General features: G+C 36.0%; 1 protein-coding gene across 3 annotated transcripts in view; it reads right to left on the reverse strand.

Annotated features, from left to right (window-relative positions):
* The window catches only part of SEMA3A (semaphorin 3A), a 536949-nt gene that overhangs the window by 59352 nt on the left and 464123 nt on the right, over positions 1–13474 (reverse strand). The window lies entirely within an intron of this gene.

Here is a 13474-nt window from a genome sequence, read left to right on the forward strand (position 1 = left end):
GTCTGGTATGATACATATCCTAAACAATTTATTGATTAATCTCTCCATTTATCTATCTAATCTTCCTTTGCTTATTGTCTGTCTCCCCTGCCACCCCAGTGAAATATACGTTCCATGAGAATAAGTATTTGTTGTATTTTTTGTTGATGCGGTGAACCTAGAGCTTAAAACGTGATAGGCAGTCATGAATATCTGTGCAATGAGAAAAGAAAAGAAAAATGGTGAGGGGAGGGGACTGTCTAGGTTACACAGAATGTATATCAGCAATATTTAGAGCTCCACTTCAAACAGTATTTTTGAACGTTCCTGGGTTGATATGCCTGTGCCTCACAAACTATATAAAATATGTAATAGCTTCATAGCTTTAAGATGCTATGTGCAACGAAGCTAAGTGTACCTCACTGAAGGCACTTAGGATACTGCAGACATTTATATTCTTACAATAATCTACCTTTATCCCTTAGTGTATTATTTTATCCAGGTAACAATGAAATATACACGTACAGGTCAGCACCATTCTTAAGAGACCAGGAAGAGATCAGAACTTGAAACTAGCTTTATCCACATATAATCCAAGTTATTTAGTCCTGATCTTTACACCTGTGAATAATCATTATCATTTGTCCTATGCGTGTAACCTTTTAACATTTGCTCTGGGACCATGCATTCAAGTATATTTCACAAGGCCACACTTTACTATCCTTTTCAGGGAAATTATACAGATTCTGGAAATAACATGAAACATGAAATATTACCTGTTCATATTTAAAGCTCAGTGTGCCAGTGAACAAGAGTAGGAGAATAATAGTTTTAAAGTAGAATTGCTTAGCACCAGCTTTTTTAAAAGATCCATACAATAATACAATACTCTAACCTGGATAACTGTTGCAAAGCTTTCTTTTGTTCAAAAATTTCTACTTGTTCACATTCATATATATATATTATATATGTAAATATGCATATATAGTGAGGAGTATGTATTCTTATGATGGGTGGTGAGCAGAATAATTAATGTGACATGTTAGGAATTACTGTCACAAACTAAAGAATTACTATCACATTGGTAAAGTTAGGCTCCAGAAATGTGTGTGTGTATGTTTGTGTGTGAGCACATATGTAACAGAAACCTGGCCGGGCACGGTGGCTCACGCCTGTAATCCCTGCACTTTGGGAGGCTGAGGCGGGTGGATCACAAGGTCAGGAGATCGAGACCATCCTGGCTAACACGGTGAAAGCCTGTCTCTACTAAAAATACAAAAATTAGCCGAGCGTGGTGGCGGGCTCCTGTAGTCCCAGCTACTTGGGAGGCTGAGGCAGGAGAATGGCATTAACCCGGGAGGCGGAGCTTGCAGTGAGCCGAGATCGCGCCACTGCACTCCAGCCTGGGCGACAGAGCGAGACTCTGTCTCAAAAAAAAAAAAAAGAAAAAAAAAGAAACCTGTGTGTGCAGTGATTTAATTTAGTCACTTGTAGCTTCTGTGTCCTTTAACAAGACTCTTCCGTCTCTGAGCTCAGATGCATACTTTTCAAATTATGTTTATTTCAAATCGAGTTACTTCAAACTGAGATCTATTCACCTTGTCTGTCATAAATAGTTCATATAAAAACAAATATTTTAAGCCTAAGACATGTGAAACAAATTTGTAAAATGTTAACAAATATACTATATTAACATCGTTATGATGATACTAAAAGGAAGCCTCCATCACATGGTAAGTTTGAGGATATTATAATCCAACTGCAGAATAAAAATGAAAACAATCATACATTCTTCTGCTTTAATACTGGAACAATGGAGGGAGAAGTTGGTCTACTATTACCTCCCAAATTAGTGTAGTTGTTCATACAAACACTTGAATAACTTAAAGAACTCTAAGCAATTACATTCAGTTGCCTTTTATTAGATCACAAATATGTGCAAGACGCCATGTAGAAAAGAGTATCCATAATATATAATCCTTGTTCTCAGAAAGCCACAGTCTAACAAAAGCAATGTTAAAAGCATGAAAATGACAACAAAGAAAACAATATTTTACATGTATAGATTCTTATGTTCTCTTGGTGTTTGGGCATGAGTGAAGGTGTCATTGAGCACTGCACTGACCTCTCTAAAATATGTGAGGATAATTATTATCTTACAAATGTGGACTCTAGTGGGAAATAACTCAATCAAATTATCAAGTATATTCATTGCTGAAAGGACCTTCAATCTTAGTGTCTTCTTCAATATATGATAACTACAGATGTGGGGATTTTTGCATGTGAATTAACAATCTCATCTAGTTTCAGGTACAGCCAAAAAATAGAAGTATGCACAGAAAATGAAAACCAAATTCATTAACACAGAAAATGAGAATATCCAAGAAAAACATTGTCAATTTAACACAACTTGTGTTCAAGAAATTTAGGTTATATCTCAGACTTGAAAAACAATCATTCCCATTTCCAAATAAAACAGGCCTTGATTTTAGCTGATCTCTTCCAACAATTTAAAAGGAGCCATTCTTCTAATGTTTCACATTTAGAAAATCTGCTTTTTGGCCAAAACCTCTGCTCACCACACATTTTCTACTTCTTCAGTCCCACAAACGTTGCCTTCCCCTTCCTTTTTATGTTTTGTCCTCTTAGCCCTCTTTCTTATTCTCTAAGTGTATTCATCCCCTCACTGATGAATCACCTCTTTATTCAATCCGAACCTTCAAATCAGTCATTCCAACTGTCTTCCCTATTATCTAGGATTTCTTGGCTGCTGGAATCTCCACTGTACCAGCTTTATAAATCCCCAGATTTTTTTCCCTTTGTCCTTACATTTAAGCAAGGGTTTAAAACCCCATGTACTCATAGTAAATATATCTGCTATAAATTGAAGCTATTTTTCCTAAACAAGAACCCTAGTGTTGCTAAGAAATTGTTTTATTTTCTTATAAGATCACTATAGATTTATTATCAACAACTGTTTTAAAGCACCCTGCTCTTCGTCAAATCGACAAATATACATCTTTAATGTATTCTGTAAAGATGGTGTTGTTACCTGCTGTACTGATAGGACCAAAGCCATTTAGCAATAACTCCCTCCTTTTCCTTCCTTCACCTCCGAATTTCTCTTCCTTTCAGGGAAGAATGATCTTTTCTCATTTTTAAGTCTAAGGTCTCTCACTATGTGGTCTCAATCCAATATTCTACAAACTATTGCTCAAATAAATTTATTCTTTATGTAATCACTTACTATTTATATTTTCATTTATAAAATAAGTGTTAAGCACCTACTGTATACTCTGGATTGTGGAAGATTAGGGCATATTAAGGTAAAATTTTTTTGTCTACATTGTAGTTATTATCTTCAAGGGAATTCTGATAATTAAACTGAACAACTGTTAAACTTCACAGAAAGAACAAAAATAAGAGCTTAGAAAAAAATGCCATGGGAGATAGGGCATTGAAGGACTACACCAGAAAGAATTTGCATAAGTCTTAGTCAGAAGATATGACATATACTTCAAGATCTGAAGAATAACCAGAAACATCTCAGGTGAAGGAATGCATTTGCAAAATCACAGGAACAACGGAGAAAGTTGTACACACAGAGAGTAGTCAAGAAGAAGGGAGGTGGTCAGAAATGATGACAGTAAGTTAAGCAGAGACCAGAATATGCAGGAAGTCATGTTCAGAAATATATCTGGCCTACTGGCTCTGGACAAAGCCACTGAAGTGTTCTAGACCTAGTAATGACATTGTCAGGAGTATATTTTCAGAAGATCACTCCTGCTGCTGCAGAGAAAAACAAAACAAACAAAAACAAAACAAAAAACAACAATAAAAAACAATTGCAGTGAGGCCAAAATGAAGGCAGGAAGACCAGTTTGGTGGCTGTCATAGAAACTCAAATGAGAAAGGACAGTGACCTGGATATGGATGGGGTAGTGAAGATAGAGAAAGGAGACATGCAGAGATCAATTGAAAATAGAACTGATGAATTATGCTCATTGATAATATGTCGAATGTAAGAAATAGTGAGAAAAATCATAAAAAAGAAACTTCTGATTTGAATAATTGCTTGTAGAGGAGATACTAAGAGAGCATGTGAGCAAGGGAACATTTGAGCGATGGAAGGAAGACAAGCTCTGTTTAGTGCGTCTTTAGAGAGCCTTGTGAAGACCCAAAGGACATGAATAAAAAAGCTTAGGAAGGAAATGTGAACTAGAGTTGAAGTTATTTGAAACTGAGCCAGTGGAGTGATTAGGAGTGTACAGAGTAAAAAGAAAAAAAAAAAGAGAAGAGAAACTAAGACCTGGAGAAAGGTGAGGAAAAGTAGAAAGGATTCTCACAAGTGGGGAGTTGCAGAAAGGAAGGAAGGAGATATAGTTCTTCCTTAGATTTTTATTCTTTCCCTTTTTAATGACGTGTCTTTAAATACAAATATGTACTTTAAAATTTCTTTATCCTGAAAATAAACTTCCACAGACACTGTATGCTCTAGAGTCTCATGATTCCTTGCATTCATTCTTTAAACTAGAGGACTTTTTCAATGGGTACATGTATATATCCTGCGGTTTTGCATCCTTCACTACTATTGTATTGATAATCAACCAGAACTATCAAATAAAAAAAATAGATTTGTATACTTATCCTGCGTTGTCTTCAGACATTGGCACAATACAATTTCACATGTTTTTAATATTTCCATTGCTTTTTCTGGCTTCTTGTGGCTTTTCTGACTCTGAACCTGAATTGTAAGCTATCTAAACTTCACTATTTCATTCATGACTTCTCTTTCCCTTTTTCTAAATTTCTGTATATATTCTTAAATTTTTCTTTAGGTGTCCTTTATTTTCTTTTACTTCTATAAATGAAGTAATCACCTAGTGTTTCTTTCACTATTTCAATATTGTTAATGATTTTTTTCTTTCTTTTTTTTTTTTTTTTTTTTTTTTTTTTGAGACGGAGTCTCACTCTGTTGCCCAGGCTGGAGTGCACTGGCATGATCTCGGCCCACTGCAACCTCCACCACCCGGGTTCAAGTGATTTTCCTGCCTCAGCCTCCCAAGTAGTTGGGATTACAGGCGATGCCACCACACCTAGCTGATTGTTGTATTTTTAGTAGAGATAGGGTTTCACCATATTGACAAGGCTGGTCTTGAACTCCTGACCTCAGGTGATCCACCTACCTTGGCTTCCCAAAGTGCTGGATTACAGGTGTGAGCCACTATGCCCAGCTGTTAATGATCTTATATTTACTTATTTCTCTTTGAGAACATATATTTCTATAGCTTCGATTTCATCAAGCTATGTCAACTTTCCTATTTTTTTTTTTTAGACCCAATGCTGCATTTCAAAATTCTGGATAAAAATTTCTATCTAGATAACTCACTACAACTTTAATTTATCATATCTATTTCTTAATTTTATAAGAAATATCTTAAGTAATTTCTTAAGTTTATAAGTTTCTTACTTACAAACTTTCCTCTTGAAACTGCTTCTGCTCCTACCTTTTTCATTTTGGTAAATCTCATCAAAATAAAATGTTATTTTACCTTAAAACTTTCCATCTCTTGCAGGACTTCTTTTTCACTGCTCTAAATTTAATACCAAAAGTATTTATATGGTTTTCATTTTGTTTTCTTGTTTTATAATCTTAATGTTGCCAGTATAATTTGTGTCCTTATTATTTTACAGTAATATTTTGGAATAATATAACTGGTCTTCCCCCTGCATTATCTATTTCCTCTAAGCCCCCCATACAGTGTACAAAAATAAATATGAATGCATTTATACAATACATTTTCCAGAACAGATTTCAGGTTTCATAGATTTGAGAAATTAACACAATTTAAGACATACAAACCAAAAAGACAAAACTGATGTACTGACATTACTCTGTCAGGACAAAGGCTAAAAGTATCTACCACATGGATCAATATATATACTTGAGGTGGGTCACGATTTTGGCTCCCAAGTTTTTTAGCACGATAGGGAAATGGGAAACCTTGTCAGTTACATTATTCACAGTGTTGCTAATATGCATTAACTAACCTTGATATATCTTTCCACCAGAACTGACCACAGACTCTCATTAGGAATCCTTTAATTAAACTGTTTATCATTCTACAACACCTTATCTACTGTCTTTATAAGCTTGTTGTTCATGTGACATAGAATATTTGCTTCTACTTATTTTATAACATTTAATTCTTTTTAAAATATCTGCATTTTCATATTTGTCTTACGACAGGCATTTGCCCTATATTTCTCCCTCTCTCGCCTTCAGCTTCTATATATAACAATGTTTTCCAGTAAGATTATTTTTAATCTTTCCCACTGCAACTATCCGCATGTAGGCCCTTATCTTTTCTCTCCTGGCAGTCACATTCACTCTGTTTTTTCCCTGCCTCCGGCCTTACCATCTCCAAACCACGTTGTATGGTCTATTGCCTTTTAACACACAAACCTTTCCCTGGCATCTGGTGCATATTCCACAATTAGAATCTATAAAACTCTATCTTAATCACTTGTTTCCCTCCATCATCTTGTAAACTAATATCCCTATTTTTTTCTTTTTCTTTCTTGCTAAGCATAAATCCTGAAACAGTGCATAGTTCCCAAATGACTCAATGAATGAATTAATACATAAATGAATCTCCTGAACTAAAAATTGGTAGGTTCTTTTGAAAGAAGGAATTACATTTTCTTGTTTTTTGGCATGGTTTACAAGTTTTTTGGATGAGTCGAGCTTATCATAGACTTGAAAATGTTTAGGTTGTCAGTTAAAGAAATGCTTATACATGCTTCTTTAAATTTGCTACTATTTCTGCAAGATATTATACAATGGCAGGTTTTCAAAATGCTTTTTTGAAATTTTATGAATGTTCTTTTTACGTAGAAGAAGCTGTTCTTTTCTTTGCATTAGATAATTAATGCATTAAAATTTTCTATTTGCAATTCTTCAGAATTAGATTTTGTCAATAGGATTAAAATAATAGAAAACATGTCTCTCAATTTTATGTAGCTAAGAACAATGCATATTTGGAGATCAGAGATTCCCATTGTCCTGTGAAACTACAAGAAATTCAATAACTTGCCTTGTCATCAAAAACTCCCTACGGAAAAGGTTTACCAATATCTATTCAGATTGACCTACTTTATTAATTCCCCTCGGTAACCTAAGAAAGTTCATGATATTCACAAAGGAAGCTATTCTATGTCCAGTCACTCCCATTAAATGGCAAGCAGAAATGAAAAACTCAAATCTAATAATTAGGTTTTCTTTTTAAACCTGTGTCCTGTGGCCCATTAAAGTAGAGAATACCTATTTTCAGCCTGCAGATAGAAATTATTGATTTCACTGTGGCCACTGAAACTTAATGACACAAATACAGATCTTTAATAATGTATACAGCGACCCTGGATATCTTTCCACGTGAAAATGTTATCTACTCTGTTCACAAAATGCCATCTAACAATAGTGTAAGAAAATATTTTTGAAATTTGAAAAGATTTCTTGCTTTGTGAAGCAGAAAGTCATTGTGAATGTATATTAAAAGCTGAACATCAAAAGGAAGTGGCAATATCCATTTTAGCAAGATCAAAGTGCACTAATCTCACTGCCATAAAACTGCAATGTAAACACTATGAAAGGTAAATAGAATTGAGAAGGATTCTTGCATCTGCATAGCTTAAGTGGTATGCCTTTGGGGAAGAAACTTTGTATTTACAGATACCACGGCCATTTTGCAATGTCCTCAGCACATAGTGGAAGCTGAACAAACAATCACATTTACTAATCTTGGGCCAATGCTATCATGTGAAGCATGGAATCTTTAGTCATGATAACAGCAATAAACGCTGAGTAAATACACCACTCTTCTCTCTTTCCCCTTTATACCTTTACCACCCCCTTGACATTCTTCCATACCTCATCCCACAGATGGCATTTCTTGCAAAATTCACGTTTGGGCACCACCTGCCACTTGTAACAGTACCACTCTGTTGAAATATTTTTAGCAGCTGCAAATTAAACTGTCCTTCAGGTGCAATCTTACACTTAATGAAAATGACACCTTGGCACAGGACACGCGGCTGCACTTATGATTCATTTGGCAGCTTGAGCTTATTTAAATAATGAATGCATTTTGCTGCTCTCAGCATTAGAATCAGACTGAATGTCTAGTACAGCAACATTTTGACCAGCATTTGGCTGGACCTATCCCTTCCACCAACAAGCCCCCCAAAGGACAAGAACAAAAATATTTTTTCTGAGAATGAATCAAATGTACAGAATGATTAATTAAGGCATTTGGGGTATCTGTAAATTTAAAAGTTGGGATACATATTGGTTTTCTAGGACACAAATTACATAAATTTCATTTGTAAAAAGGGTGGAATTAATAATTATAAACTCTCTTGCACAAGTGCTGCGAGGCCTAGTTAATTTCATAACACGAACCACTCAGCCAATCCTCTTGTAAAACATGTCAGAGGTTGCAGAGCAGGGAAGGCGGAACATATAACCCCACTGCAGAAAAATGGCAGAAATCCCCTCTCTCTCTGAATCAACAGGAACACCACCTATGAAAGGAAAAAACAAGGCTTTAAAATGTAGATAGTGCCGGGCGCTATGGCTCACGCCTGTAATCCCAGCACTTTGGGAGGCCGAGGCGGGTGGATCACGAGGTCAGGAGATCGAGACCATCCTGGCTAACACGGTGAAACCCCGTCTCTACTAAAAAATACAAAAAAGTTAGCCGGGTGTGGTGGCGGGTACCTGTAGTCCCAGCTACTCGGGAGGCTGAGGCAGGAGAATAGCGTGAACCCGGGAGGCGGAGCTTGCAGTGAACGGAGATCGCGCCACTGCACTCTAGCCTGGGCAACGGAGCGAGACTCCGTCTCAAAAAAAAAAAAAAAAAAATTAGTTCACAGAAATATACATACACATTCTTTTCTTCACACTTTAAAGGAGGTCCCAGTGACATTATAACTATGAAGGAAAACTCTTTCAGAAAGCAACATAAAAAGAAGCAAGTATTTCCTTCACTGTACTTATATAAAAACTGTTCTGTGATAGGATTCAGAGAAAATGGGTAGAAATTAGGCTTCTCCCAGTCACTAGATTTGTTACTTCAAAAATAACAACTTGGCTGGGCGCGGTGGCTCACGCCTGTAATCCCGGCACCATGGGGAGGCCAAGGCGGGTGAATCACTTGAGGCCAGGAGGTTGAGACCAGCCTGGCCAACATGATGAAACCTCGTCTCTACTAAAAATACAAAAAAAAAATTAGACGAGTATGGTGGCACACACCTATAATCCCAGCTATTCGGGAGGCTGAGGCACGAGAATTGCTTGAACCCAGGAGGCGGAGGTTGCAGTGTGCTGAGACCGCACCACTGCACTCCAGCCTGAGCAAGAGAGGAGACTCTGTCCCTGCACACCCAATGCCCCCCCACAATAAAAGAAAAAAGAAAAAAAATCAACTAGCCTCAGTTACTTGACTATCAGAAAGTACATATCTTTGAGGAGTGTTGGGAGAATTAATTAGGGAATACACATACATCTATCTATCTGCCAATGCCAAGCATATTATTGGTCTTCAAAATTGCTAGCTGTTATTATTTTATAACATTGTTTTTAAAACTTTGTGAAATATTGTATACAAATGTATGTTTAAAAGTTAATGGTAACATAAGATCAGGTGCGGTGGCTCATGCCTGTAATCCCAGAACTTTGGGAGGCCGAGGCAGGTGAATCACTTGAGGTGAGGAGTTCGAGACCAGCCTGGCCAATATGGTGAAACCCCGTCTCTACTAAAACACAAAAAGTAGCCGGGCATGGTGGTGGGCGCCTGTGGACCCAGTTACTTGGGAGGCTGAGGCAGGAGAATCTCTTGAACTCAGGAGGCGGAGGTTGCAGTGAGCCGAGATGGTGCCACTGCACTCCAGCCTGGGTAACAAAGCGAGACTCTGTCTTTAAATGAATAAATAAATAAATAAAAATAAGTAATGGTAACATAAACTTAGATTACCAGTGGAAGCAAGTTGGTAGCTGATAAGGATTCTAAAAACCTGCTAAAGACAACTAAGATGAACAAAGACTAATTATAAATTATGTAAATTATAAAACTATATTAATATTTCCAATATCACAGCCTCAGGCTTCAAAATATTTACAAAGAAACTAGCTGGGAAATTGGTAATGGGGAATAATTATCACCAGATGACTGCCAGCACACCAGGATGGCAGCCACAGTGACTGGTTTCTTCCCTTTTCAGCTATGCCACAACATACAGAAAACAAAAGCCCCAAAGAATCAATAGACCATGAATGGGAACTTTCAGCACATTAAGAATGCAGGGAATGCAACATAAGGTCATCTCACATTCTTAGCTAACAGCCTAAGCAGAGGAGATATATCATTTTTGGCTGTGGAATAGAATAACCTCTGGCTGCCAAGGAACGGGCCTGGAAAAACTTCTGATGCTAGCTGGCTGGGAAACTGTGAATAGCCTTTGGGATAGTTTAACCCAAGAAAAGTTCAAGATGAGTCACATCAGGAGAGAGAGAAGGGCTGATTAGAATGAAAGATAAACACAGAAGGCAAGTGAAAATAATAGATACTGTTTATTGCACCCTTTCCTTCTGTACTATCTGCATTATCTAATCCACACATACCCCAGAAAGAAATCCTGGGATTAAGACCCAGCGAATGTTCAAGGTACAAACTAGTAACTGGCAGAGCCAGGGCATAACAAGAGCCGAGTTCCTTCTACTGCCTCAAGCTACATGGAGTGTTTGCACCTATGTAATTTGCAATATGTCTCTAAGTTGCATGTACTTCTACACTATTTGGTTATTTGATTTACTATTTTAATATACTTTTTAATCATTAATCAAGAGAATAGTGGGAAAGATTGCTACCTTCTAGCACTACAAAATAAGTCTATTTGAACTAAATGGTCATAACCAAAAGCAACGGTTCGTAGTTTTCCTCAAAAAGGCAAATGACGGAATAAGAAGTGAAAGGCTTTGGGATATTGGACTTACAAGCATAAATACATAAAGTCATCACGAACATCACTGTGGTGTGGAGTGCCCTCAACTCTGTACCTTAAATCAAATTAAGTACCTCGTATCTCTTATTCAACCCTGACTTTGAGGAGAAAATGTTTTTCCACCTTCATCTTTTCAGTTTCATCTCCCATATCTATTTAACTGGCAATTACTACCAATTCTCTACTAATAATTTTTAGAATATTTTTCACTTATTTATTTGTTTTCTATTAAAAGTCTTCTCATCTCTCTCCTAAAGTATTGATGTGACCTCTAGAAAGAGTCCCCTGCTTTGAACTACCATGCAACCCAGTGAACCCATTACTAGGTATATACCAAGAAGAATATAAATCATTGTACCATAAAGACACATGCACATGAATGTTTTTTGTAGCACTGTTCACAATAGCAAAGACATGGAATCAACCTAAATGCCCATCAATGACAGACTGAATTTAAAAAATGTAATTAGTGCATGTACACCATGGAATACTATGCAGCCATAAAAAGGAATGAGATCATGTCCTGTAGGAACATGGATGGGGCCGGAGGCTCTTATCCTTAGCAAACTAACACAGGAACAGAAAACCAACTACTGCATGTTCTCACTTATAAGAGGCAGCTAAATGATAACCACTTATGAACACAAAGAAGGGAACAGACACTGGACTCTACTTGAGGGTGGAGGGTGGGAAAAGGGAGAGAAGCAGAAAAAAATAACTATTGGGTACTAGGCTCAATACCTGAGTGATGAAATAACCTGTACAACAAACCCCTGTGACACGAGTTTACCTATAAAGCAAACCTTCACGTGTACCCCCAAACCTAAAATAAAAGTTAAAAAAAAAACTGCAAGCAAAATTATGTGTGTGTACCTACAAAAAAATGGACCATTGCTTTAAATAATTTTCTTCCAAATCAATATTTTACAATATTTACAAGGTATATCTCTAAATATACACAATTTTTTAATGGTTTTTCATTGACTAAGCAAATTCAGATGCCTTTAAAAGACATGCAATGTCTCTGCTACCTAGTCCCTGGATATACCTAATTCTAGGCTTGTTCCCAGTTGAATTTCCTTGTATCCTCCTATCTTACCACTTGGGATTCCCACAACTTTTATTCTTAAATTACTTTATTTATGAAAATTCCTTTACCAAGAATCATGACAATTTTTCAAGACCATTTTCAAATATATTTCACGAGTTCTTTCTCTAAATTTGTCAGGTGGAAATTTATCTTCTGCATTTTTATAATACAGTATTTTGTTGGATTTTCAATGAGTTACCAGCCAACCAGCACTAGTTTATTCTTTAGAGCAATACAAATCTGGGTTTCTATTTCTATTTCACTAAGTTTTTTGTTTGTTTGTTTGTTTTTAGTTAGAGTTTGCCATTCATCTTTGAATCCTCTCTAGTTCCTAACAATATATTACCCTTTAGGATACTTGGTTACTTGAACTCAAACAGACACTATTATATATACTTACATAATTGGCTTATGGTTTACAAACTGCCTTCATGGAGATGAGGTGGCAGTGTTAAGAAGCTGTCACAGTATCCAGTTTAGCTCCACCATTCAGTTACTGTGTGACCATGAGCAAGTTAACATCTCTGTCTTGAGTTCTCACTCATAAAGTGAGAATTTGGAGACATTATAAAGATAATAGAGCTGATACACCTGGACTTAGAACAACATACTATTGTGAAATATCTATCTTTATTGTTATCCCATGGTTGATTACTTCTGCTTCATTATTAAGAAATGTGTTTACCACCAAAAATCATTTTCTAAAAGTGTGTTATTGACGTCATCAAAATACAAGTATTCTTTCTGAAAATTGAAGTGGAAGACATATCATTATTAATCATGTAAGAAGGGTGTACCGATGTCCGAAGCTACTTTGTCTTAATAAAAAGAAAGATGATTGATGAATGGAGAGAGGAGTGATTGGAGAGACACACGATACATTGCAGTAAATTGTAAATTTATAGAATCTAGGTGGAAGACAAAGGTTTATAGCTGTAAAATTATTTTAACTTTCCTGTATTTGAAATTTTTCATATCAAAATATTAGAAAAATACTTTTATGCTTCCCAAAAATAAAAAAGTAGCATTTGTTTTTAACATTCAGGAAAGGTGAACTTAGGTGAATATGAGGACTAAGGCAAAACTAAGAAAATACAATATGTAAATACAATAATTATAATGGGTGATAAATGATATCATTTAGTTTCTTTTACTAGTACTGTCATTATCCTAATGATTCACACTTATCCATAAACTGGAACAAAATCAACAAAGTATGTTCTTTTTACTTAAATATTATGGTCTTTAACATTTTATAATTCAATAGAAAACTTTTTATAATGTAACTGGCTATATGCTATAGAATTACTTTTGAAAATTAAATGTATAATAAAGTTTGTTTGT

This window comes from Homo sapiens, chromosome 7, assembly GCF_000001405.40.
Source record: "Homo sapiens chromosome 7, GRCh38.p14 Primary Assembly".
NCBI lineage: Eukaryota > Metazoa > Chordata > Mammalia > Primates > Hominidae > Homo > Homo sapiens.